The 25471-nt window shown below is 47.4% G+C and overlaps 1 long non-coding RNA gene across 6 annotated transcripts; it reads left to right on the forward strand.

Annotated features, from left to right (window-relative positions):
* The first annotated feature begins 847 nt into the window (after positions 1–847).
* Positions 848–24413, forward strand: LINC02968 (long intergenic non-protein coding RNA 2968). 6 transcript variants are annotated; one of them, XR_007068480.1, is made up of 8 exons: positions 902–1152; positions 2379–2640; positions 10360–10455; positions 11712–12122; positions 12216–13003; positions 15721–15972; positions 19716–19775; positions 24113–24413. It is a non-coding gene; the product is annotated as a long intergenic non-protein coding RNA 2968 (long non-coding RNA). The 6 variants fall into 6 exon arrangements; XR_007068478.1 differs by having other exon boundaries at positions 985–1152; positions 2379–2625; positions 11906–12122; XR_007068477.1 differs by having other exon boundaries at positions 985–1152; positions 2379–2625; positions 11909–12122.
* The last annotated feature ends 1058 nt before the right edge of the window (positions 24414–25471 follow it).

Consider the following 25471-nt stretch of genomic DNA (forward strand, 5'->3'; position numbering starts at 1 on the left):
TGCCTCACCGTCCTGAGTAGCTGGGATGACAGGTGCCCCCACCACACCCAGCCTAATTTTTGTATTTTTAGTAGAGACGGGGTTTCACCATGTTGGCCAGGCTGGTCTCGAACTCCTGACCTCAAGCGAACAACTAGCATTTTTATAAACTACAGAAGACGGTGGCTATTCATCTGCCCCCTCTCTCCTGGGTATTTGCGTGTCAGGTGCAGAGATGGAGTCTTCTGAGGGCGCACATCACAGCGTAGACAGAAAGTTGAGGTTGTACATGCCGCAGGTTCCAGATGGAAATCACTAGTGCCTCCTCTTCTCTCTAATAGGCACACTAGACACAGCAGGTGCATTTTGGCGGTGGGATGAGGTCCGACAGTCACCTTTATTTTTTATTTATGTATTCATTAGTATTATTATTTTTTGAGACTGAGTCTTAAACTGTCACCCAGGCTGGAGTGCAGTGGCGGCATCTCGGCTCACTGCAACCTCCACTTCCCAGGTTCAAGGGATTCTCCTGCCTCAGCCTCCTGAGTAGCTGGGATTATAGGCGCCCATCACCATGCCCAGCTAATTTTTGTATTTTTAGTAGGGACGGGGTTCGCCATGTTGGTGAGGCTGGTCTCCAACTCTTTTTTTTTTTTTTTTTTTTTTTTGAGACGGAGTCTCGCTGTCTCCCAGGCTGGAGTTCAGTGCCTCAATCTCGGCTCACTGCAAGCTCCACCTCCCGTGTTCTCGCCATTCTCCTGCCTCAGCCTCCCCAGTAGCTGGGACTACAGGCGCCCGCCACCACACCTGGCTAATTTTTTGTATTTTTAGCCATGGGGTTTCACCATGTTAGCCAGGATGGTCTCAATCTCCTGACCTCGTGATCTGCCTGCCTCGGCCTCCCAAAGTGCTGGGATTACAGACATGTGCCACCACGCCTGGCTAATTTTTTGTATTTTTAGTAGAGATGGGGTTTCACCGTGTTGGCCAGGCTGGTCTCGAACTCCTGACCTTGGATGATCTGCTCGCCTCGGCCTCCCAAATTGCTGGGATGACAGACGTGAACCACCGTGCCTGGCCGACAGTCACCTTTAGAATGTGAACAGTGGACACTGTGTTGGGGTCTCCTACCTGTGCCTGTGATGTGGACTGGCCCATCTCGTCATGGACAAGGTGGGGAACCTTGACTCTGACCCCTGATTTTGGATGTTTCCTCGTGGAAAATAAATATAAACCCAGGGTAGAGTGTGTGAGACAAGCTGGATGCATCCTGTTTTTCTTTATTTATTTTTTTAAGTTGGAGTCTCGCTCTGTCGCCCAGGCTGGAGTGCAGTGGTGCAATCTCGGCTCACTGCAACCTCCGCCTCCTGGGTTCAAGCGATTCTCCTGCCTCAGCCTCCTGAGTAGCTGGGATTACAGGTGCATGCCACCATGCCCGCCTAATTTTTGTACTTTTAGTAGAGACGGGGTTTCACCATGTTGGCCCTGGTCTGGAACACCTGACCTCAGGTAATCTGCCTGCCTCAACCCCCCAAAGTGCTGGGATTGCAGGTGTGAGCCACCATGCCCAGCCAGATGCATCCTGTTTTTTAGCCCACTCAGCAAAGGTCTGTGCCTCACCCGTCTACTAAGCTGCTGCTCTCGGCATTGAAGAAAAAAAGGAGAGGGGGCCGGGCGCCGTGGTTCACTCCTGTAATCCCAGCACTTTGGGAGGCTGAGGCAGGCCGATCACCTGAGGGTCAGGGGTTCGAGATCAGCCTGGCCAATATGGTGAAACCCCGTCTCTACTAAAATTACAAAACTTTGCCAGGCTTGGTGGCGGGTGACTGTAGTCCCAGCGACTCGGGAGGCTGAGGCAGGAGAATTACTTGAACCCAGGAGGTGGAGGTTGCAGTGAGTCAAGATGGCACCACTGCACTGCAGCCTGGGTGAGAGAGTGAGACTCTAACTCAAAAAAAAAAAAAAGGAGTGGGGGAGATTCTCTGTCATTCCCTTCAAGCCAAGAGAGGGCATTGAGCCTCCTGGGCTGAAGCAAGGAGCAGTCTGCCCACTCATGTATAAGTTGAGTCACAGAGATGACATGGTTCTGAAGGACGGGTGAAGTAGATGGGTCTGGACTGTGAAGACGAACTGTCAGCGTTCATAGCACAGAAACCGGCTCGCGTCTGTCTGTGAGCCTCCGAGAGGCAGATTTGAGATGGCTTTCCTTTATTTATTTATTTATTTTTGAGACAGAGTCTTGCTTTGTCGCCCAGGCTGGAGTGCATTGGTCATCTTGGCTCACTGCAACCTCCGTCTCCTGGGTTCAAGCGATTCTCCTGCCCTCAGCCTCCCGAGTAGCTGGGATTACAGGCGCCCACGACCACACCCGGCTAATTTTTTTTTTTTTGTATTTTTAGTAGAGATGGGGTTTCACCATGTTGAGCAGTCTGGTCTTGAACTTCTGACCTCGTGATCCACCCGCCTCAGCCCCCCAAAGTGCTGGGATTACAGGCGTGAGCCACCGCGCCCGGCCTGAGACGGCTTTCCAAGGCTGCAGAAATGAAGTCTGCAATAGCAGATCCTCTTTGCCTGGGTTTGCACGTGATCCAGCAAACCACCCACCGACCCGTTGCCTCATGTGAGACATCCTCAGGGAACAGCAAGGTGAGCGTGCCGCAGGTACGAATCTCTGGTTGTGGCAAATGCGTCTTTTGCAAAAGCCAAACCTGGCCAGCTTTTTGCACCAAATGGTCAGAAAGTAGAATTGAAGAGAAGCGGGTGCTTCGAGACCTGAAGCACATTCTCCAGGATCGGTATTTGAAGTCTCGGACAGGGACCTTCTGCAGCCAGATCATTTCTTGCCATGTTTTCTTCTCAGTCCTCAGACTGGAGAGTTCAATCTTGAGCTTCTCAGGCTGGAGATGAGCGGTGGGTGAGTAGGATGAGGCTTGGCAACTTCTCTGCAGGGTCTGTCTGTTATCACCACTCGGGAAGTTTATGATCCTGCTAACACTAGTTTTTCATGCCTTTTTTTCTTTTTCTTTCTTTTTTTTTTTTGAGATGGAGTTTCGCTCTCGTTGCCCAGGCTGGAGTGTAATGGTGCGATCTCGGCTCACTGCAACCTCTGCCTCCTGGGTTCAAGCGATTGTCCTGCCTCAGCCTCCAGAGTAGCTGGGATTACAGGCATGTGCCACCACGCCCAGGTAATTTTTGTATTTTTAGTAGAGACAGGGTTTCACCATGTTGGTCAGGCTGGTCTCGAACTCATGACCTCAAGTGATCTACCTGCCTCGACCTCCCAAACTGCTAGGAGTATAGGGGTGAGCCACTGCCCCTGGCCTAATTCTTCACATCTGAATAAGGTCACACTTAACTTTCCCCGAGCTCTGTCTTTCCTGACTGAGTTAATGCTGGAGCCGTTAAAACCGAGAGAGCACATCCGTTCTCAGGCAGCATTTGCTAACTTCTTCAGAGCTTCATGGAATGTTCTGCCTTCTCAGGGCATGCTGTGGTTTGGTTTTCTCCTTTTTCTTCTCCTCCTCCTTCTTTCCCCCTCCTTCTTCTCTTCCTGTCTTCCTGTTCCTCTTTCTCCCCCTTCTCTTCTCCCTCCACTTCTCCTCCTCCTCCCCCTCCTTCCCTTCCCTCCTCCCCCTCCTTCCCTTCCCTCCTCCTCCTCCTTCCTCCTCCCCTTCATCCTCATCGTTCTCCTCCTCCTCTTCTCCCCCTCCTCCCCCTCCCCCTCCTCCTCCTCCCCCTCCTCCTCCTCCTCCTCTTCCTCTTCCTCCTCCTCTTCTCCTCTTCTTCCTCCTCCACTTTCTCTTCCTTTCCCCCACTCTTTTCCCTCCTCCTCCTTTCTTCTTATCCTGTTTCTCCTTCTCCCTCTTCTCCCTCCTCTCCTCCCTCCTTCTCTTTCTGCTCCTCCTCCTCGTTCTCCTCTTTCTCCCTCCTCTTTCTCCCTCCTCTTTCTCCCTCCTCCTCTTCTCCCTCCTCCTCTTTCTCCTCCTCCTCTTTCTCCTCCTTCCTCGTCCTCCTCTTCTCCCTCCTCCTTCGTCTCCCCCTCCTCTTCTCCCTCCACTTCCTCTTCCTTCCCCCTCCTTCCCCCCTCCCCCTCCTTCCCCCCTCCCCCTCCTCCTCCTCTTTCTCTCCCTCCTCTTTCTCTCCCTCCTCTTTCTCTCCCTCCTCTTCTCTCCCTCCTCTTCTCTCCCTCTTCCTCCTCCTCTTCCTCCTCCTCCCTCCTCCTCTTTCTCCCTCCTCCTCTTTCTCCCTCCTCCTTTCTCCCTCCTCCTCTTTCTCCCTCCTCCGCTTTCTCCCTCCTCCGCTTTCTCCCTCCTCCGCTTTCTCCCTCCTCCGCTTTCTCCCTCCTCCGCTTTCTCCCTCCTCCGCTTTCTCCCTCCTCCGCTTTCTCCCTCCTCCGCTTTCTCCCTCCTCCGCTTTCTCCCTCCTCCGCTTTCTCCCTCCTCCGCTTTCTCCCTCCTCCTCCTCCGCTTTCTCCTCCTCCTCCTCCTCCTCTTTCTCCTCCTTCTCCCTCCTCCCCACTCCTCTTTTTCAGAGAAGGTCTTGCTCTGTCACCCAGGCCGGAGTGCAGTGAGTACAATCATAGCTAACTGCAGCCTCAAACTCCTGGGCTCAAGCAATCCTCCCACCTCAGCCTCTCAAGTAGCTGGGACCATAGGCATGAGCCACCATGCCTGGCTAAATTTTTAAAATTTTTGTAGAGACAGAGTTTCCCTATATGTTGCCCAGGCTGGTCTCAAACTCCTGGCCTCCAGTGATCCTTCCATCTCAACCTCCCAAAGTGCTGGGATTACAGGCATGAGCCACCCTGCCTGGCCTATTACCTTCTTGTTTATCAAGTTACTTCTTTATATCTGAGGCTAGCTAGATACCTGGAATTTTCCATGTAGAAACTCAAGATTTTCCTTTATTTTCACACGTGAGTTCTGCAGGCCCCTAAAAAGAAGGGTCTCTGCTCCACCTCAGAGCCATGGTTTATAGAAAGATTGAGGACAAAACTTGGTGACCAGGACTCGGGCTGAACCTCCAGGCTCCGTGTCTGGGTCTACAGTTTCTCCTACAGCAGAAGGTTGAAGCATCCCTCATAAACCTGACTCTGAACTTGGGGCCCCCACGGAGCTGGGAAAAGCAGGCACAAGAATTGGGGGTGGCACTGGCACTTAGACCCAAGACAAGGGGAGTGGGAACTCTGAGCTTTGGCCATCATGCTTTGTTCTAAATTTCTTCCTGAGGACGGGCACGGTGGCTCACACCTGTCATCCCAGCACTTTGGGAGGCCGAGGCAGGCGGATCACGAGGTCAGGAGATCGAGACCATCCTGGCTAACACGGTGAAACCCCGTCTCTACTAAAAATACAAAAAAATTAGCCAGGCGTGGTGGCAGGTGCCTGTAGTCCCAGCTACTCGGGAGGCTGAGGCAGGAGAATGGCGTGAACCCGGGAGGCAGAGCTTGCAGTGAGCCGAGATCGTGCCACGGCACTCCAGCCTGGGTGACAGAGTGAGACTCCATCTCAAAAAATAAAAATAAAAAAAATAAATTTCTTCCTGAGGGTCCTGCAGAGAGTCACCCCACAAGCCAGTTAACATTTTAGTTCTGCTGACCCCAGATTTCTAAATAAGTCTTCCCTTCCTTAACCAATTACAAATCAGAAACATCTTTGAATCTACCTATGACCCATAAGCCCTCACTTCAAGACATCTCACCATTTTAGATTTAAACAGATGTATAACTTGCATGTATTTGCAAACCAAAAGGCCTCTGAGACAGGTCTTAACCTTGGCAAAATAAACCTCTACATTGATTAAGGACCATGGTCCATGACACAGCCTTAGAAGGTTCTGAGAACATGGGCCCAACATGGTTGGGTTACAGCTTAGTTTGTTTTTTTGTTTTTGTTTTTGTTTTTGTTTGTTTTTTGTTTTTTTTTTTTTTTTTGAGACGGAGTCCTGCTCTGTCGCCCATGCTGGAGTGCAGTGGTGCGATCTTGGGTTGCTGCAACCTCCGCCTTCTGGGTTCACACCATTCTTCTGCCTCAGCCTCCTGAGTAGCTGGGACTACAGGTGCCCGCCAGCTCACCTGGCTAATTTTTGTATTTTTAGTAGAGACAGGGTTTCACTGTGTTAGCCAGGATGGTCTCAATCTCTTGACCTTGTGATCCGCCCGCCTCAGCCACCCAAAGTGCTGGGATTACAGGCGTGAGCCACTGTGCCCAGCCTACAGCTTAGTTTTATACCTTTTAGGGAGACAGAAGTTACAGGCAGACACATAAATCAGCACATGGAAGGGACACATTGGTTTAGCTCAAAAAGAGGGGACAGGCTTCCAGGTCATAGGTGAATTTAAAGATTTCTTAGGCCAGGAATGGTGGTTCACACCTGTAATCCCAGCACTTTGGGAGGCCAAGTCAGGTGGAACAGTTGAGGCCAGGAGTTTGAGACCAGCCTGGACAACATAGCAAAACTCTGTCTCTACTAAAAATGCAAAAACAAAATTAGCTGGGTATGGTGGTACATGCTTGTAATCCCAGTTACTTGGGAGGCTGAGGCATGAGAATCACTTGAACCTGGGAGGTGGAGGTTGCAGTGAGCCAAGATTGCCCCACTGCACTCCAGCCTTGGTGACAGAGTTAGACTCTGTCTCCAAAAAAAAAAAAGAAGAAATGACTTCTTGATTGGCAAGTGCTTGAAAGGGTCAAGCTCTGCCTGCAAAGTTTGAAATCACGGGAGAGAAATGCTTGGGTTTAGAGAAAGGGGGCTGCAGAAGCCAAGGTTTTTGTTATGTAGATGAAGCCTCCAGATAGCAGGCTACAGAGGGAATGGATGGTGAACTTGTCCTATTGGGCGTTAACAGCTGTCAGAATCTCCAGAAAGGACCTTGTACATCTCTACAGAAGAAATGGCTTTGCAGGGCCATTGGGGTCAAATACTTTGATTCCTTCAAGGCCTGCTATCTGTCATGTAACGCTCTACCAGAGTCAAATCGGAGTTTGGGATCTCATTGCACAAAAAGTCTGGTCCATCTTAAACTCTCTGTTTTAAATGTTAATGCTGGTCAGTGGTGCCTAAACTTCCAAGGGAGGCAGGTCCAACCCCCATTTCCTGTCATGGCCTGAACTAGCTTCTCAGGTTGCTTTGAGAACCCCTTGGCCAACAGGGGACCCATTCAGTCCGTTGGAAACGTGAGAAGTGTATTTTTTTTTTTTTTTTTTTTTTTTGAGATGGAGTCTCTCTTTGTTGCCTAGGCTGGAGTGCAGTGGCACGATCTCGGCTCACTGCAACCTCCGTGTCCCGGGTTCAAGTGATTCTTCTGCCTCAGCCTCCCGAGTAGCTGGGATTACAGGCACGCCCCACCTCGCCTGGCTAATTTTTGTATTTTTAGTAGAGATAGGGTTTCACCATATTGGCCAAGCTGGTCTCGAACTCCTGAACTTGTGATCCGCCCCCTCCAAAGTGATTGGCCTCCCAAAGTGCTGGGATTACAGGCAGGAGCCACCGTGCCCAGCCACTGGGGTTACAGGCACGCACCACCTCGCCTGGCTAATTTTTGTATTTTTAGTAGAGAGGGGGTTTCACCATCTTGGCCAGGCTGGTCTCAAACTCCTGACCTCAGGTGATCCGCCCGCCTCGGCCTCCCAAAGTGCTGGGATTACAGGCATGAGCCCCCGTGACTGGCCAGAATTGTATTTTTTAATTTGGGTTTGTGTGTGTGTGTGTGTGTGTGTGTGTGTGTGTGTGTGTGTGACAGGATCTCTCTGTGGCCCAGGCTGAAATGCAGTGGTGCGATCTTGGCTCACTGCTGTTTCCACCTCCTGGGCCCAAGTGATCATCCTGTCTCAGCCTCCCAAGTAGCTGGGACCACAAGTGTGCAACACCATGCCTAGGTAATTTTTATATTTTCTGTAGAGACAGGGGTCTCACTATGTTGCCCAGGCTGGTCTCGAACTCCTGGGCTCAAGTGATCCACCCTCCTTGGCCTCTGAAACTGCTGGGATTATGGGCATGAGCCACTGCACTTGGCCTATTCTTTAAATTGTATGTGTGTCTGTGTGTGAGAGTTGGAGTCTCACTCTGTCGCCCAGGCTGGAGTAGTTCAGTGGTGTGATCTTTGGTCATTGCAACCTCCGTCTCCTGGGGTCAAGCGATTCTCCTGCCTCAGCCTCCTGATTAGCTGGAACTACAGGCATACATCACCATGCCTGGCTAATTTTTGTATTTTTAGTAAAGACAGAGTTTCACCATGTTGGCCAGACTGGTCTCAAACTCTGGACCTCAGGTGATCTGCATGCCTCGGCCTCCCAAAGTGCTGGGATTACAGGCATGAGCCACTGCATCTGGCCTATTCTTTAAATTTTTCTTGTGTGTGTGTGTGTGTGTGTGTGTGTGTGAGTTGGAGTCTTGCTCTGTCACCCAGGCTGGAATAGTGCAGTGGCACGATCTTGGCTCACTGCAACCTCTGCCTCCTGGGTTCAAGCGATTCTCCTGCCTCAATCTCCTGATTAGCTGGGACTACAGGCGTGTGCCACCATGTCTGGCTAATTTTTATATTTTTAGTAAAGACAGGGTTTCACCATGTTGGCCGGGCTGGTCTTGAACTCCTGACCTCAGGTGATCTGCCCGCCTCAGCCTCCCAAAGTTCTGGGATTACAGGCATGATCTACTGCATCTGGCCTATTCTTTAAATTTTTCTTGTGTGTGTGTGTGTGTGAGTTGGAGTCTTGCTCTGTCACCCAGGCTGGAATAGTGCAGTGGCACGATCTTGGCTCACTGCAACCTCTGCCTCCTGGGTTCAAGTGATTCTCCTGCCTCAGCCTCCTGATTAGTTGGGATTACAGGCGTGCGCCACCATGCTTGGCTACTTTTTGTATTTTTAGTAGAGACAGAGTTTCACCATGTTGGCCAGGCTGGTGTCGAACTCCTGACCTCAGGTGATCTGCCTACCTCGGCCTCCCAACATGCTGGGATTACAGGCCTGAGCCCCTGCACCCAGCCTATTCTTTAAATTTTGTGTGTGTGTATGCATGTTATTTTGGAGTCTTGCTCTGTCACCCAGACTGGAATAGTGTAGTGGCAGGATCTCAGCTCACTGCAACCTCTGCCTCCTGGGTTCAAGCAATTCTCCTGCCTCAGCCTGCTGATCAGCTGTAACTACAGGCATGCGTCACCATGCCCGGCTAATTTTTGTATTTTTAGTAAAGACTAAGTTTCACCATGTCGGCCAGGCTGGTCTCGAACTCCTGACCTCAGGTGATCTGCCTGCCTTGGCCTCCCAATGTGCTGGGATTACAGGTATGAGCCCCTGTACCCAGCTTATTCTTTACATTTTGTGTGTGTGCGTGTGATTTTGGAGTTTTGCTCTGTCGCCCAGGCTGTAATAGTGTAGTGGCACGATCTTGGCTCACTGCAACCTCTGCCTCCTGGGTTCAAGTGATTCTCCTGCCTCAGCCTGCTGATCAGCTGGAACTACAGGCACCTGCCACCATGCCCGGCTAATTTTTGTATTTTTAGTAAAGACCAAGTTTCACCATGTTGCCAGGCTGGTCTCGAACCTTGGACCTCAGGTGATCCGCCTGCCTTGCTTGGCCTCCCAAAGTGCTGGGATTACAGGCGTGAGCCACCGCGCCGGTGTAGTTAACTTTCCTTCTCCAAAGCTCTTGGCAGAATTCCAGGTAACTTATTTTATCCTAATGAAATAGACGACATAGCCCTTTGATGTTTGTATTGACTCCTGTCTCCCAGTGGAGAAAAATCACGAGGAAAAGAAAAGACAAAAATATTTACCCTTTAGGGTTCCCTTCATGTATCACAGTGACCTGCAGGGAAGCTCACATAAATGTAATTTAGAAAAGCTTCCTGTGGCCAGGCACGGTGGCTCTCGCCTGTAGTCCCAGCATTTTGGGAGGCCAAGGGGGGGTGGGGGCGGGGAACGGATCACGAGGTCAGGAGTTCGAGACCAGCCTGACCAACATGGTGAAACCCCATCTCTACAAAAAATTAGCTGGGCATGGTGGCGGGCGCCTGTAGCCCCAGCTACTCGGGGGGCTGAGGCAGGAGAATCGCTTGAACCCAGCAGGTGGAGGTTGCAGTGAGCCGAGATCATGCCATTGCACTCCAGCCTGGTGACAGAGGGAGACTCAGTCTCAAAAAAAGAAAAAAAAAAAAAAAGAAAAGCTTGTTGTGATCAATCAGATGTTTCCAATGATAACGAAAAAGCGACATCCACTGTTCACCTCGTGTTCACTCACCAGCTCACTCAACCCAAAGCACCGTCGTTTCTCAGGACGCACCATCCCATCATTTTTCCCGTAATTTCTCCGGTTAGTGTTGATTCGTGCTGTTAACATGCAAACCCACCTTACGTTCCTGCTTTACGGTTATGAATTGCAGTCTCGCTGTTCTTGGAAGGGACTTCCAGCCTGGAAAGAAAAGGGAGGGATAAGAGAGCATCTGTGGATCTTCCTGGCATATTCCTTCTCCTACAAGGTGAGCTCAAGAGCACAGAGCTTATCTCCACACAAGCAAACTCCCACTCTTCCTGTCATTGAACATAAGGAAGAAACAGGATTCTCCTCTTTTCTCAGTTGCATAAGCAAATCCTTATGCAAACATCTGAAGAGACATCAGAGAATCTTTGCCCGTGCCAGATGCCCTTCGGGGGACAGTCTGCGTCTGCTTTGCTTGGAGTAGCACAGGAGCTTGATGTGCCTGTGGAGAAGAGCATTGAGAGCTTGTTGGAAGGAAAATTGGTCCTGAAACTGCACAGGGCTACCCTAGGATTGGCTTATCAGGGGAGGCATATGTCCTGGTCCTGTAGGTCACAATCCTAGTGTTACTAAAAGGGCTCCCTCTCGGGTCAGGTGCAGTGGTTCACGCCTGTCATCCCAGCACTATGGGAGGCTGAGGCAGGCAGATCACAAGGTCAGGACATCGAGACCATCCTGGCTAACACGGTGAAACCCCGTCTTTACTAAAAATACAAAGAATTAGCCGGGCATGGTGGTGGGCACCTGTGGTCCCAGCTACTCCGGAGGCTGAGGCAGGAGAATGGTGTGAACCCAGGAGACAGAGCTTGCAGTGAGCCGAGATCACGCCACTGCACTCCAGCCTTGGGTGACAGAACAAGATTCCGTCTCAAAAAAGAAGAAAAAGAAAAAAAAAAAAGGGTCCCTCTCCAGACCCCAAGAGAGGGTTCTTGGACCTCAGGCAAGAAAGAATTTGGGGCAAGTCCCTAGACTAGAGTGAAAGCAAGTTTCTTAAGAAAGTAAAGGAATAGGCTGGGCGCAGTGGCTCATGCCTGTAATCCTAACACTTTGGGAGGCCAAGGCGGGTAGATCACTTGAGGCCAAGAGTTCGAGACCAGCCTGACCAACATGGTGAAACCCTGTCTCTATTAAAAATACAAAATCAGCCGGGTGTGGTGGCACATGCCTGCAAATCCCAGCTACTTGGGAGGCTGAGGCAGGAGAATTGCTTGAATCCAGCAGGTGGAGGTTGCAGTGAGCCAAGATGGCGCCACTGCACTCCAGCCTGGGCAACAAGAGTGAATCTCCATCTCAAAAAAGAAAAAGTAAGTAAAGAAATAAAGAATAGCTACTCCATCGCAGAGCAGCCCTGAGGGCTGCTGGTTGGATATTTTTGTGGTTGTTTCTTGATGGTATGGTAAACAAGGTGGATTATTGATGAGTTTTTCTGCACAGTGGAGGAGATTTCCCAGAGTGAAGGGTTCCTCCCCCTTTTAGACCATACAGGGTAACTTTGAGTCATGGCCATGGCATTTGTAAACTGTCCTGGCGCTGGTGGGAGTGTCTTTGAGCATGCTAACACGTTATAATTAGTGTATAAAGAGCAGTGAGGATGACCAGAGGTTGCTCTCTTTGCCATCTTGGATTTGGTGGGATTTGTCCGGCTTCTTTACTACAACCTGTTTAATCAGCAGGGTCTTTATGGCCTGTATCTTGTGCCGACCTCCTATCTCATCCTGTGACTTACAATGCCTAACCTCCTGGGAATGCAGCCCAGTACGTCTCAGCCTCATTTTACCCAGCTCTGTATTCAAGATACATTCACTCTGGTCCCAACGCCTCTGACACTACGTTCCAGGGATTACGGCATGAACATACTGTTTTCAGGACCCTATCTAGCCCACCATGGTAAGGAAACACCCAACAAACATCATGCTTATTAAGTTTCCAGGCAGGTGCCTCTCTATCCCAGCTTCATTGTTGTGTTCTTTTCTTCACAAGTATTTTCAGAGCTGCCCTTGGCCATCTGGAAGATGCATGGTGAAAGAAACGGATGCTTGCTCTCAGCACACACTTCCTTCCCTGACAGTTTGTCGCCTAGCAGCTATTTTGGCTTCCCAAGGGAAATCTTGTCCTTTGCCCTTGTGGGGCTTACTGCAAATCAACTCATCATGAGGAAGATTAATCAGAGAAAAGACATACAATTTTTTTTTTTTTTAAACTGTGAGCATGAAGAGAATCACAGAGTGTATACTCAATCTCCCAATGGGGGCAAAATACTTCTGTAACCTCCTTTCAGGTGGCGAGAGGGGACATGGGAATGTAGGTAATTCTGTTGAGTGGTAATAAGTGATGACTAGGAAGATTGAATGGATACTTGGGAGAATGAATAGGGGGAGGAAACAGAGATTGACTTATTAATGGTTCCCTTTGGAAATTAAATACTCCTTGGAGACCAGTCATTACTTTGTAAAAAAGTCTGTTTGAGCGGGCTTACATCTTAACGTTCTTTCCTGTAGTCAAGAAGAAGATCCCAGGGAGGGAGGGAAAGTGAATTGTAATAATCCCGACATGTTCAGGGAGGGACCCTGTGGGAGGTCATTGAATGATGGGGGGCAGGTGCTTCCTGTGTTGTTCTTATGATAGTGATTAAGTCTCACAGGATCTGATGGTTTTATAAAGCCAGGTTCCGCTGCACATGCCCTCTTGCCTGCCGCCATGGAAGATGTGCTTTTTCTCCTCCTTTGCCTTCCGCCATGATTGTGAGTCTTCCCCAGCCATGTGGAACTGTGAGTCCATTAAACCTGTTTCCTTTATACATTACCTAGTCTTGGATATGTCTTCATTAGCAGCGTGAGAACAGACTAATACAGAACGGAAAAAAAAAATGTTTTACTTGGTGGATGTCTCTGGTTTTTATGTCAATGGGGAAAAGTCCCTTCCAAGGTCTTTTAATCTTTAAGGGTTTTTAATTTAAAATATTCGTTTTGCAAAGGAGCCATATTTTGGGGTGAAATTATCTGTACAGAGCCAGTAATTCATCACAGAGGAGATAATTCTGTTTTATCAGAGACTGACCAAGAGCTATGTTGATCTTGTGAATTTGGGAGATTACCCTTTGCTCAGCTGATGTTCAAGGAAGGCAACGGCTTTGGGAAAAAGTTCAATATGTATCCGTGAAACTGCTAACCTTTGGGAGTTACCGTAGTTTGGATATGGGTTATTTGTTCCCACCAAATGTCATGTTGAAATTTGATCTCCAGTGTTGGAGGTGGGGGTAGTGGGAGATGTTTGGGTCCTGAGGGTGGTTCCCTCCTGAATAGATTAATGCCCTCCCTCAGGGCTGAGTGAGTTCTCACTCTATCAATTCCCTCAAGAAATGCTTGTCAGAAGAGTCTGGCACCTCCAACCCGTCTCTCTTTCTTCCTGTGTCTCTGTGTGATCTCTACACACTGGCTCCCCTCTGCCTTCCGTCATGAGTGGAAGCTCCTTGAGGTCCTCAAGATCCTTCTTGAGAAGAAGATGCTGGTGCTAAGCTTCTTGTACAGCCTACAGAACTGTGAGCCAAATGAACTACTTTATAAAATACCCAGCCTCAGGTGTTCCTTTCTGGCAACATAAAATGGACTAAGACAGGGCCCCATACTCATAGCTACCTTTTCATGTAGGGCTGAAATGAGGAGAGGAGGACACAGACACACACAGATGGAAGACCCTGTGAGTTCTCAGGGAGAAGATGGCATCTACAAGCCAAGGAGAGAGGCTGCAGGAGGAAGCAGCCCTGCAATGCCTTGATCTCAGACTTCCAGCCTCCAGAACTCTGGGAAATAAATACCTATTGTTTAAACGACCTGGTCTGTGGTCCTTTGTAATGGCGGCCTTAGCCAACTAATATACTCCTCAAAAGCCTGACACATATGCTCATTTGGAGATTTGGGAGATGTGCTTGGAAATGACATGATTGAAAGTCTACCAGGCATTTCACATCAATCGTTCCGTCATCCTCTCCAAACCTCGGGGATGGCTTGTCTTTCTCTCTTGTAAAAATCACTTCTCCCTTCTGACCACATAAATATTCCAGACAACAGACTCTTCGGAAACAAGTGCTCACACTTCGGTCCTCTGTTAACTCTCTTCCTAAAGACACCAGACACTGGGGGAGAGATCGGGGCTGGAGGGGTGACTGACTGACAAAAGCGAGACTGTAGGAGCAGAGACATGTCGGATGGGTTTTACAGGTTTCCTGGAGCAACAGCTCTTATTCTGGGCTCCTGGGGTTGCCAACTGCCTGTTATGGGCCAAATTGTGTCCGTCTCCAATTTTATACATGGAAGTCTTGATCCCCAGGACTTCAGACTGTGACTGTGTTTGGAGATGGGGTCTTTAAAGAGGTGATTAAGGCACAATGAGGTTATTAGGGTGAGCCCTGCTCCTATAGCTATGGTATCTTTACAAGAAAAGGAGATGAGGACACAAACACACACAGAGGGATGACCCTGTGAGGACACAGGGAGAAGACAGTGTCTCCAAGCCCAGGAGAGAGGCCTCAGGAGGAACCAGCCCTGCCCACACCTGGATCTCAGACTTCCAGCCTCTAGGACTGTGGGAGAATCAATGTCTGTTGTTTATAAGCCACCGAGTCTATGATATTCTGTGATAGCAGCCTGAAATGGACTAAGACATCCCATAAGAAGAAGAGACGAGGACACAGACACACACACAGGGATGACCCTGTGAGGACACAGGGAGAAGACAGTGTCTCCAAGCCCAGGAGAGAGGCCTCAGGAGGAACCAGCCCTGCCCTCACCTGGATCTGGGACTTCCAGCCTCCAAGACTTGGGAGAATCAATGTCTGTTGTTTATAAGCCACTAAGTCTATGGTATTCTGTGCTAGCAGCCTGAAATGGACTAAGACATCCCATAAGCAGAGGAGATGAAGATTCAGACGCACACAGAGGGACGACCCTGTGAGAACACAGGGAGAAGACAGTGTCTACAACCCCAGGAGAGACGCCTCAGGAGGAACCAGCCCTGCCCACACCTTGATCTCAGATTTCTAGCCTCCAGGACTGTGGGAAATAAGTATATATTGTTTAAGTCACCCAGTCTGTGGTGATTTGTTATGGAGGCTTTAGCCAAGTAATATACTCCTCAAAACCCTATTTCTATTGGGAGATTTCTATTGGAAGGAAGATTCAGAGTGCAAATTTGTAGTATCCCTGCTGATCTATCTCCTAAATGAAACACATCATTCCCAAGCACTTGTCTTTGTGCGAAGATCCATTTTGCAACCAACCATATATAATGTGTGAGGCCTTTTCACAAGACTGGCTTAATTAAAAATTCACATCCTCCTGACATCTTAAATATAAGAGCAGTAAGATATGCAGCTTTAACAGTTTGTAGTGGCTGGGATTTTGAGGAGGGATGTTTTGTCGTTAGCTTGGGAAAATAGGTTCTACTGACATCTGTTCAGCTTAGCTATTATTGTTCTTTTTTGTTACAGAAGTAAAACGGGGAATTTTTTAGAAACACGTCAATTACCTTTGATTTTGTGTCATATACAGAAGGGAATGTTTTTATTCCTGCAAACCCCATAAAAGCCAGTGATGCATTTTCATAGCCCTCTCTTGGCAGAAAACTGCCTTTGAAATTTCTGGATCAAGAACGTATTATTTTCTGATGGCTTTTTTTTTTTTTTTTTCTGGTGATGTATCTCAAAAGCTTCAACTTTTCCCCTCCTGTTAGCAGAATACAGGTGAGTAGTAAAGTACGAACCATTTTTTATTTTCTTCTTACAGTAGAATTTTTTCATCGCTTACAAATATAGGTGCCCCTGGCTTCAGAGAATCACACTTTTCCATGCCACTAAATTCAGACACCACCAAGGACTGTGAATTTGAGCAGAAGTGAGGTGTGTCACTTCCTCCCAGAAGCCTGGGTCGTGGTTGCCCTTGGAGAACATAATTTTTTGAAAATATTTATTTTACTTTAAGTTCTGGGATACATCTGCAGAACGTGCAGGTTTGTTATACTGGTGTACATGTGCCATGATGGTTTCCTGCACCTATCAACCCATCATCTAGGTTTTAAGCCCCACGTGCGTTAGGTATTTGTCCTAATGTTCTCCCTCCCCTCACCCTCAACCCCCTGACAGGCCCTGGTGTATGATGTTCCCCTCCCTGTGTCCATGTGATCTCATTGTTCAACTCCTACTTATGAGTGAGAACATGTGGTGTTTGGTTTTCTGTGTCTGTGTTAGTTTGCTGAGAATGATGGCTTCCAGCTTCATCCATGTCCTTGCAAAGGACATGAACTCATTCTTTTTTATGGCTGCTTAGTAATTCATAGTATATATGTGCCACATTTTCTTTATCCAGTCTATCATTGATGGGCATTTGGGTTGGTTCACTGTTTTTGCTATTGTAAATAGTGCTGCAATAAACATACGTGTGCATGTGTCTTTATGGCAGAATGATTTACAATACTTTGGGTATTTGCGCAGTAATGGGATTGCTGGGTCAAATGGCATTTCTGGTTCTAGATCCTTGAAGAATTGCCCCACTGTCTTCCACAATGGTTGAACTAATTTACACTCAACAGTGTAAAAGCGTTCCTATTTGGAGAACATCTTTTGTTCTCTCTCTCCCTCCCTGAGAGTGGAAGTATTCCAGAACAGGGCTGCTTTATCCCCCTGGGTCCTAGTCTTAAGATGACAAATAGTGAAGCCCCCATTGGTGAGCAGGTGGTATGGGTGAGAAACAGACTTTGGTGATGTTAGCTGCTGAGATTCTGGGATTGTTTGTTATAGCAGCATCACCTGGTCTGTCCTGACTAATACACATATTGACAATTTACTTTTCATCGAATTACTTTGTTGAGCTGTGTGTTAATAGAATGAAAACGCTGCTTTGTGCAAAAAACACTAGCTAATAATATAGACCCTTAGTTCCACGAGCATTTTCTACCTTGTATTCCTTGGTGCAAGGACTTAACAAATCATTTGGCACTTGTACAAGAGCATTCATATAAAGAGGCAGCAGCTTAATTTTGCTTGTTTCCCAAGCAATGTGTTCAGGGAGGTCTAGACACAGAGTGGACAGATGAAGGAAAATGACCCAATGAAGACATTTTCCAGGACATGTTCCCTGGCTGTGCTGTAGGGGTGACCACATTTTAGTCTAGTAAGGTTAAAGATCAGAGCTGAATACTGCTGAAACTTGAGCGTCCTAAAAATTCCCTGTTAAAGGTATCCCATGGAGAGATCCAGGTCTCACTACATGATTTGAAAATGGTCTTATTTGGAGGAATCAAATTAATCAGCTCACAACAAGATGCTTGTATACTTGTGGTGTTGAGACCTCAGTGATGGATACCTTTTTGTTTTTTCTTTGAGACAGAGTCTTCCTCTGCTGCCCATGCTGAAGCGCAGTGGCAATCACATAGCTCACAGCCCCCTTGAACTCCTGGGCTCAAGATATCCCCTCAACTCAGCCTTCTGAGTAGCTGGAACCACAGCTCTGTGCCACCACAGCTGGCTGATATTGTAATGCTGAGATCTTCATCTGTACAAAAAAAATAAAAAATAGCCAGGTGTAATGGTGCACACTTGTAGTCCCAGCTACTTTGAAGGCTGAGGTGGGAGGATTGTTTGAGCCTAGGAGTTTGAGGCTACAGGGAGCCATGATTGCACCCACTGCACTCCAGCCTGAGCAACACAGTGATGTTGCCCAGGCTGGCCTTGAACTCCTGACCTCAAGCAATCCTCCCACCTTGGCCTCCCAGATTGCTGGGATTACAGGTGTGGGCCATCGCACTCAGCCGGTGTTGAATACTTTCCGATGGCAGGTTGAGAAGACATGACTGGTAGAAGAAAAATGTTCCTAGGGCCAACCACATGGGGGCAGACTTTGTTGGGGCACCATGGCAACAGTTCCCAGTGGCAGGACCTGACGTTTCAGGAGCTAGGGAAAAGGGAGGCCATGGAATACAGGTTGAGACGTGGTAAGGACAGTCCCAAATGTTGCCTACCCCAGTTTTGTTCAGCAAAAGTCTCAGTCGTTGATTCCTTTTGTGGGCTGAAGGTATAATTCGGCTTTTTCTGCCCAATATGATGTTTGTGAGATTCATCCATATCATCCAGATGTAGGAGCCTCCTGGATTTGGAGCCTCCTGGATTTTACAGCTCAGGGTACCTTGGGGAACTGGAGGCAGAGCTTACTCTTGTTAATAACTAAAATCATAACAGTGATAGTTGACATTTACCCAGCTCTTGCAGTGTCTAAGGGGCTATCCCAAGAGCTTCCTTTATGTGCGTTGCCTCGTTTAATTTTACAGCCTTCTCATCATGGTTACACCATTATTATCTGAAGTTACAGGTGCACCAACTGAGACCTAGAGGGTTTCAGGACTAGCTGTGCATGCCTGGAAAAGTTTATGACAGTTCTGGGTTTGCAGCTTCAGTCAGTGTGGCTGAGAGCTTGTAATCACCAGGCTTCTGCCCACAGGAAGCAAGCAGGGTGAGGATGGACTGGGTTCCTGGTTATCTTGATTCTGATTCTTTGATAGTAATTAGACACACATGTAGCTGAGGTGCCATCAGCCCTGTTGTTTCCTGAGGTAGCTTTGATGCTGATGGTAGGGTCGGCTTTTCAACTGTGCCTTTGCAGCCCTTGGAATAAATTTCATTGTAGGAAGCACTGAGTCACCATCTTCAAAGCAGGCAGCAAAGACCTTCAGAGCTGCTCCAGGGAACGCAGACAGCTCAGCTAAGTTTGTTTACCTTCTGGAAATGTCAGATTTGGAGGTTCATTGCATTTGTCAGGGGAGCAACGTGCCTCTGTTGACATCGCCTCACCCTGCCGTGCAGCTATGCTTCTCTTCTCTGCTCCTGAAGGTCTCAGACAGCCAGGCTGCAGTCCAAGTGTCACCCCTTAATTTCAGCAGGCAGGCTGTTCTCCCGTGTCAGGGAACAACCTGAGTTTCAGAAAAGTGTCAATTTTGTGCTGCCGAGGAAGAATTTGGGCTTAGGCAAATGGTAAGGTCATAGCAGATGCAAGCCCCAAATTTAGTTCCGAATCGTGTTTTAATTATGATTTCAGGCAAATGTAACACATTGAAATATGTGACAAGTATAAATGTAGTCATACCACCTACATTGGGGAATGACTTGTCCTGCAGCATTTTGGGGTGGGGAAGAGGGAAATTCCCAACATTGTGTTAAAATAATATCCTACATAAGAATACAGAATTAATCAACTGAAATGCTAGATTTGTTTTGGTTTTACTCCAAAGACTAGTTAGACATACTCATGACACAAGAGTCACATAGTCTACTTTTGAGACTTAAAGAGAGAAACTAGAAGCTCAGAAAGCAGACTTTGGCGTTAAGCACTGGGTAAGTGGGAAGAACAGGGAGAAGAATGAGTTTCTATCCTTCATCCGTCTTTGTTCTGCTGCCTGTAAGCCCAGTTCATCTGTTGTTGTTGTTTTTTTCCCAAGGGGATCCGGTACCGAATGCAGCATCTACCAACCACAGGCACTGGATGTAACTATGCTTTGGTGAGCTTTCTTCTTGGGAAAACATGAAGAAATCACAGGCATTATTACTGTGTCTGCGAGTGTTGCTGGCAGGGCTGGCGGTCTCTGTTTTAATTCGCTTAATTGTGCACTAAAGCTTATCTTTTCCTTGCTGGTGCTTGTCCTTAGTTTATCACGCGAGGGAATTAAGATTCATTGGTTGGCCGGGTGCGGTGGCTCATGCCTGTAATCCCAGTACTTTGGGAGGCCGAGGCAGGCGGATCACGAGGTCAGGAGATCGAGACCATCCTTGCTAACACGGTGAAACCCCGTCTCTACTAAAAATACAAAAATTAGCTGGGCATGGTGGTGGGAGCCTGTAGTCCCAGCTACTCAGGAGGCTGAGACAGGAGAATGGCGTGAACCGGGGAAGGCAGAGCTTGCAGTGAGCTAAGATTGCACCACTGCACTCCAGCCTGGGAAACAGAGCAAGACTCCATCTCAAAAAAAAAAAAAAAAAAATTCATAGGTAAGGAATGCGTGGAGGGCTCTTTTATAACGTATCAATGCACAGCATAGATGGAAAGCATTCTTAGATCAAAAGAGCATGCCCAGGTTATTTCCCCAAATGAAACTACCCATAAACAGACTGAGATCCAGATGGTGACTCACCACTAGCAGCTCCCTGGAGAGCTCCACACACGCCTGCTGACAGTCACCATCCCTCTGCTGCCATCACGGTCTTCTAACGCTGCTGGTAGTTTTGAACATTTTCATACTTCATGCAAATACATCATATAGAGTAGGTGATTTTGGGGGTTCAGGGTATAATTCAGCCTTTTCTGCCTAAGATGATGTTTGTGAGATTCATCCATGTCATGGCGTGTCAATATAGCTGTTTCATTGTCAACGACGTTTAGCATTTTCTTGGGTCAACACATCGAGACTTATTGATCCACTCTGCTGCTGATGGGCATTTCAGAAGTTTCCCATTTGCAGATACTGTCAATCAGGTACCTGGGAGCACTCTCGTCCATAGCATTTGTGACATATCTGTGGCTTGCTAGGGAATTTCTACCCGGGGTGGACTTAGCACACCGGGGTCTGGAGGACTATTTTGAAAAGAATGCTGGAAATTCGGTGAAAAGAGGGAGTGACTGATGACAAAAATCCTCCTATGGCAAAGAAGGTGGTAGTGGGCAGAATCTTCTACAGAGATCATCTCACTCTTCATGCACATCCCCACTAAACTTAGGAGAAACTTGAAAAGGGAAGAAATCTTTGCCCAAGGTCACTGTTGGTAAAAACCTAAGATCCTTCCTCCTTCCCTGGATGGCTTGTATTCTAACAGAAGCTCAGATAAATTCTGAAGTAAAGGGTTGGTATTTGATTGAAACCGATTTTGACATGATTTGTGAGTTTTTAAACCTTCCCAGGGGCATTCATTACCTTAAAATTCTAAAAGAAATTCAGGGCCATCTTAAAAGAGCTGATGGTTATAGACAAATCAGGCCATCTAGCAGAAGCATGAAAGAATGGATGTAAAATGAAACTCACCTATAGACAAATCAGACCCTCTAGCAGAAGCATGAAATAATGGATGTAAAATGAAACTCACCTATAGACAAATCAGGCCCTCTAGCAGAAGCATGAAAGAATGGATGTAAAAATGAAACTCACCTATAGACAAATCAGACCCTCTAGCAGAAACAGGAAAGAATGGATGTAAAATGAAACTCACCTATAGACAAATCAGGCCATCTAGCAGAAGCATGAAAGAATGGATGTAAAAATGAAACTCACCTATAGACAAATCAGGCCCTCTAGCAGAAGCAGGAAATAATGGATGTAAAATGAAACTCACCTATAGACAAATCAGGCCATCTAGCAGAAGCATGATAGAGGATGTAAAATGAAACTCACCGTGGCATACTGGAACACTCACTATCTTAGTCTGTTTTTTGTTGCTATGACCGAATACCTAAGACTCGGTAATTTGTAACGAAAAGAAATATACTTATGACAGTTCTGGAGGCTGGGAAGTCCAACAATGAGGAGCTGCATCTGGTGAGGACCTTCTTGCTAGTGGGGACTCTCTCTGGAGAGTTTTGAGATGGGGCAGGCCTCCGAGAAAAACAACCTGGCTTTTGATCACAGACCTGCTCTTCTGATAACTAACCCACACCTTAGATAACTCATTAATTGATTAATTCATGAAGGGATTAATCCATTCACGAGGGCAGAGCCTCATCTAAACACTCTTACATTGGGGACCCAGCCTCAACATGACTTTTGGTAAGGGCAAACCATATTCTAACCATAGCACTTACAAACCATCTGCTTATGTTGAATTAAATTTAGGTGGTTGAATACACACTCAGAGCTGTGACTCTTCGGTTTGATTTATCTCAGAAAGCTCTCAAAGTCCTCATGCTCTACTGAGCCCTCTCAGTATAGGTGGCATTTGCTACATAGCTGGACACTGAAGTTGGCAGCTGAACTTGGCTAGCAACAGGAGAGACTGATGGGTTAGAGTCGTTATGAATTAGTACTATTTTACATTTGTTAGAAAAAAATTGCAAAACTGAACTATTATTATTAATCTTATCATTATTTTGAGAGGGGGTCCTGCTCTATTGCTCAGGCTGGAGTACAGTGGTGCAATCGTAGCTCACTGCAGCCTCAAACTCCATACTGCAGCTCTGACCATACCACGGCTCCGACCACAGCACAGCTCTGACTATACCCCAGCTCTGACTTTACTGTAGATTGGACTATACTGCAGCTGAGACCATATTGCAGCTCCTGCCACAGCACAGCTCCAATCATACCGCAGCTCTGACTGTACGGCAGCTCTCAGCATAGCACAGCTCTGACTATACCGCAACTGTGACCATACCTCAGCTCTGACCATAGCACAGATCTGGCCATAGCACAGCTCTGACTCTACCGTAGCTCTCACTATGCTGTAGATCTCGCTATCCTGGAGCTCTAATCATACCACAGCTCTGAGCATAGCACAGCTTTGAGCGTATCTCAGCTCTGACTGTACTGCAGCTGTGATCATACCGCAACTCTGACCATATCTCAGCTCTGACCATAGTGCAGGTCTGATTGTGCCACAGCTCTGACCCTACTGTAGATCCGACTACACTTCAGCTGTAACCATCCTGCAGCTCTGTGCAGACCTTACATCTGATCTTGCTTCAGCTTTGACCATCCTGCAGCTCTGACCAGACCCCACGCAGTGCTCATCTCACTGCACATCTGACTGCTGCAGCTCTAACCATGCCGCAGGAAGTGAAGGAGACGAGAGAGAGAACTAAGGCTGCAATGCTGTTTGCATAGCTTGTTGGCACGGCCGCCAGGAATCTTGGATCCAAAGTTAGGAGTGCTGCTGCTGCTTCTCCCAGGGATGGGTCTGCCTCAGTATCCCTGCAGAGTCAGTCCTGGGGTGTTGGGGCAGCCGTGCACATGTGGTCTCTGTGGCCGGTGTTCCAGTGGGTTTCAGAGCAGTGGCTGAAACTGTCAATGAAACCCCCAATGTCTGACATCTCAGGAGGCTTCTCAGGTCTCCCACATGGCAGCTTTTTTTTTTCCTCTTTAAAATAAAAACTTTTTTTCATCCTTCACTAAGAAATAGCATTTCCCTATACACCTGACCTCAGCAATGTACACCGTACCAAATAATTACAAATGGTAAGTGCTTTTGTGAAAAGATAATCAACATGCCAGATAAGGAAAGAAATACAACATTAAAAAAAAAGAGGCCATAATTGTCCATACATTTGGCAAACATACAAAGAAAATGGACAATACTGACACGTTTCAGGGTATCGGGCAAAAGGATTCTCTGTTAAGGGTGGAAACTGGTAACATCAACTCTAGATGGCCCATTTACACATTATTTGGAGAGATTAAAAAAGTACCCATCCATTGAACCAGCAATTCAATGTGTAGGAGTGTAGCCTGCAGGTCGCAGGTGCACAAAGACTGTGTAAAGGGAATTGGCTGCAAAAAGGTATTTATTTGCAAAACACTGGGAATGAGTTGGAATCAATTTATAGGTTGATGGTTAAGGGTTATGTACAGTTGTTGGTTGCCAGCAAGAGAAACAGACTCTAGTTGATTGAAGAAATTTAATAGATATCGGGCAGGTCAGATAAAGGATGAGAAGATTAGGGAATTATAAGTAGAACCCCATGAAGGCTGGTGGATAAGAAGTCCATGTGTATACCTGCCATGCCCCAGTTATACACAGCCTGCTTAGGACACAGCTTTGTTGAATTACCTGTAGACCCCAGACTCTGTTGAAGCATTCTTGCTTCCATCACGAATAACTACTGAACTTTTTTTGTTTTGTTACATCCTTCCCTCAGAATTTTGAAGGTCCCTGATAAGACATCTTTGAGGTCAGGCATAAATCATCACTTCACATCTTGACGGCAATGCAACGAAGACAAGTATCTGTCTCTTTGGGTCTGTCTAACAAGGAGCAAAGCCTGGCCTCCCACCAGCATCCAGACAATAGTGGATTCCCTCTCCATAGATGTCAAAAAAGAAACAGATGCTCCCGCAGGTGAAATGAGCTCTGGTCCACAATGCAACGCAGGCTGTGCAGAAAATCAAAGAGGAACCAACCCAGAAGTATCCCCCAGGACAAATCATTAAGGGGGAAAAGGCAAGTGGTACAACCCTTTATTTTATGATTCTACTAGGAAAAAAAATAGCGGCATTCCTTAAAATATTGAGATAACTGGCAGGTAGAATGAACCAAAAACTATTAACAGGGGTTCCCAGGAGAATGGAGGACAATTGAAACAGGGTGTGAAGCGGAGAGGCATAATTCGTTCTAGTGATCCTGTCATTCTCGCCTTTCCAATGATACTATATTGGTGAATGCATTGCCCAGATAACATTTAAAAAGGTTTTAAGTGGCTGGGCACGGTAGCTTATGCCTGTAATCCCAGCATTTTGGGTGGCTGAGGCAGGTGGATCACCTGAGGTCAGGAGTTTAAGACCAGCCTGGCCAACATGGAGAAACCCCGTCTCTACTAAAAATACAAAAAAATTAGCTGGGCGTGGTGGCACATGCCTGTAATTCCAGCTACTTGGAAGGCTGAGGTACGAGAATCACTTGAACCCAGAGGGCAGAGGTGGCAGTGAGCCAAGATCGTGCCATTGCACTCTAGCCTGGGCAACAAGAGCAAAACTCTCTCTCAAAACAAAACAAACAAACAAAAAGATTTAAAGTGGCCGGGTGTGGTGGCTCACGCCTGTAATCCCAGCATTTTGGGCGGCCGAGGCAGGCGGCTCACCTGAGGTCAGGAGTTCAAGACCAGCCTGGCCAACATAGAGAAACCCTGTCTCTACTAAAAATACAAAAATTAGCTGAGCCTGGTGGTGGGCAACTGTAGTCCCAGCTACTTGGGAGGCTGAGGCAGGAGAATCCCTTGAACCCGGGAGGCGGAGGTTGCAGTGAGCTGAGATCTCGCCACTGCACTCCAGCCTTGGAGACAGAGTGAGACTCTGTCTTAAAATAAATAAATAAATAAATAAATGCAATCTGTCTTAAAATAAATAAATACATAAAAAAGTTTAAAACATGTTTAACAAGCATGAATACATATATATGGTCATGTGAGAGTGAGTATACAAGCAGATAATGGTCTGGCCATCTACATAGATAAAACTCTGACCCACAACCTGCCAAGAAAACCAACCCCTTATCCACTGTA

The sequence above is a fragment of the Homo sapiens genome, chromosome Y, assembly GCF_000001405.40.
Source record: "Homo sapiens chromosome Y, GRCh38.p14 Primary Assembly".
NCBI classification, from domain to species: domain Eukaryota; kingdom Metazoa; phylum Chordata; class Mammalia; order Primates; family Hominidae; genus Homo; species Homo sapiens.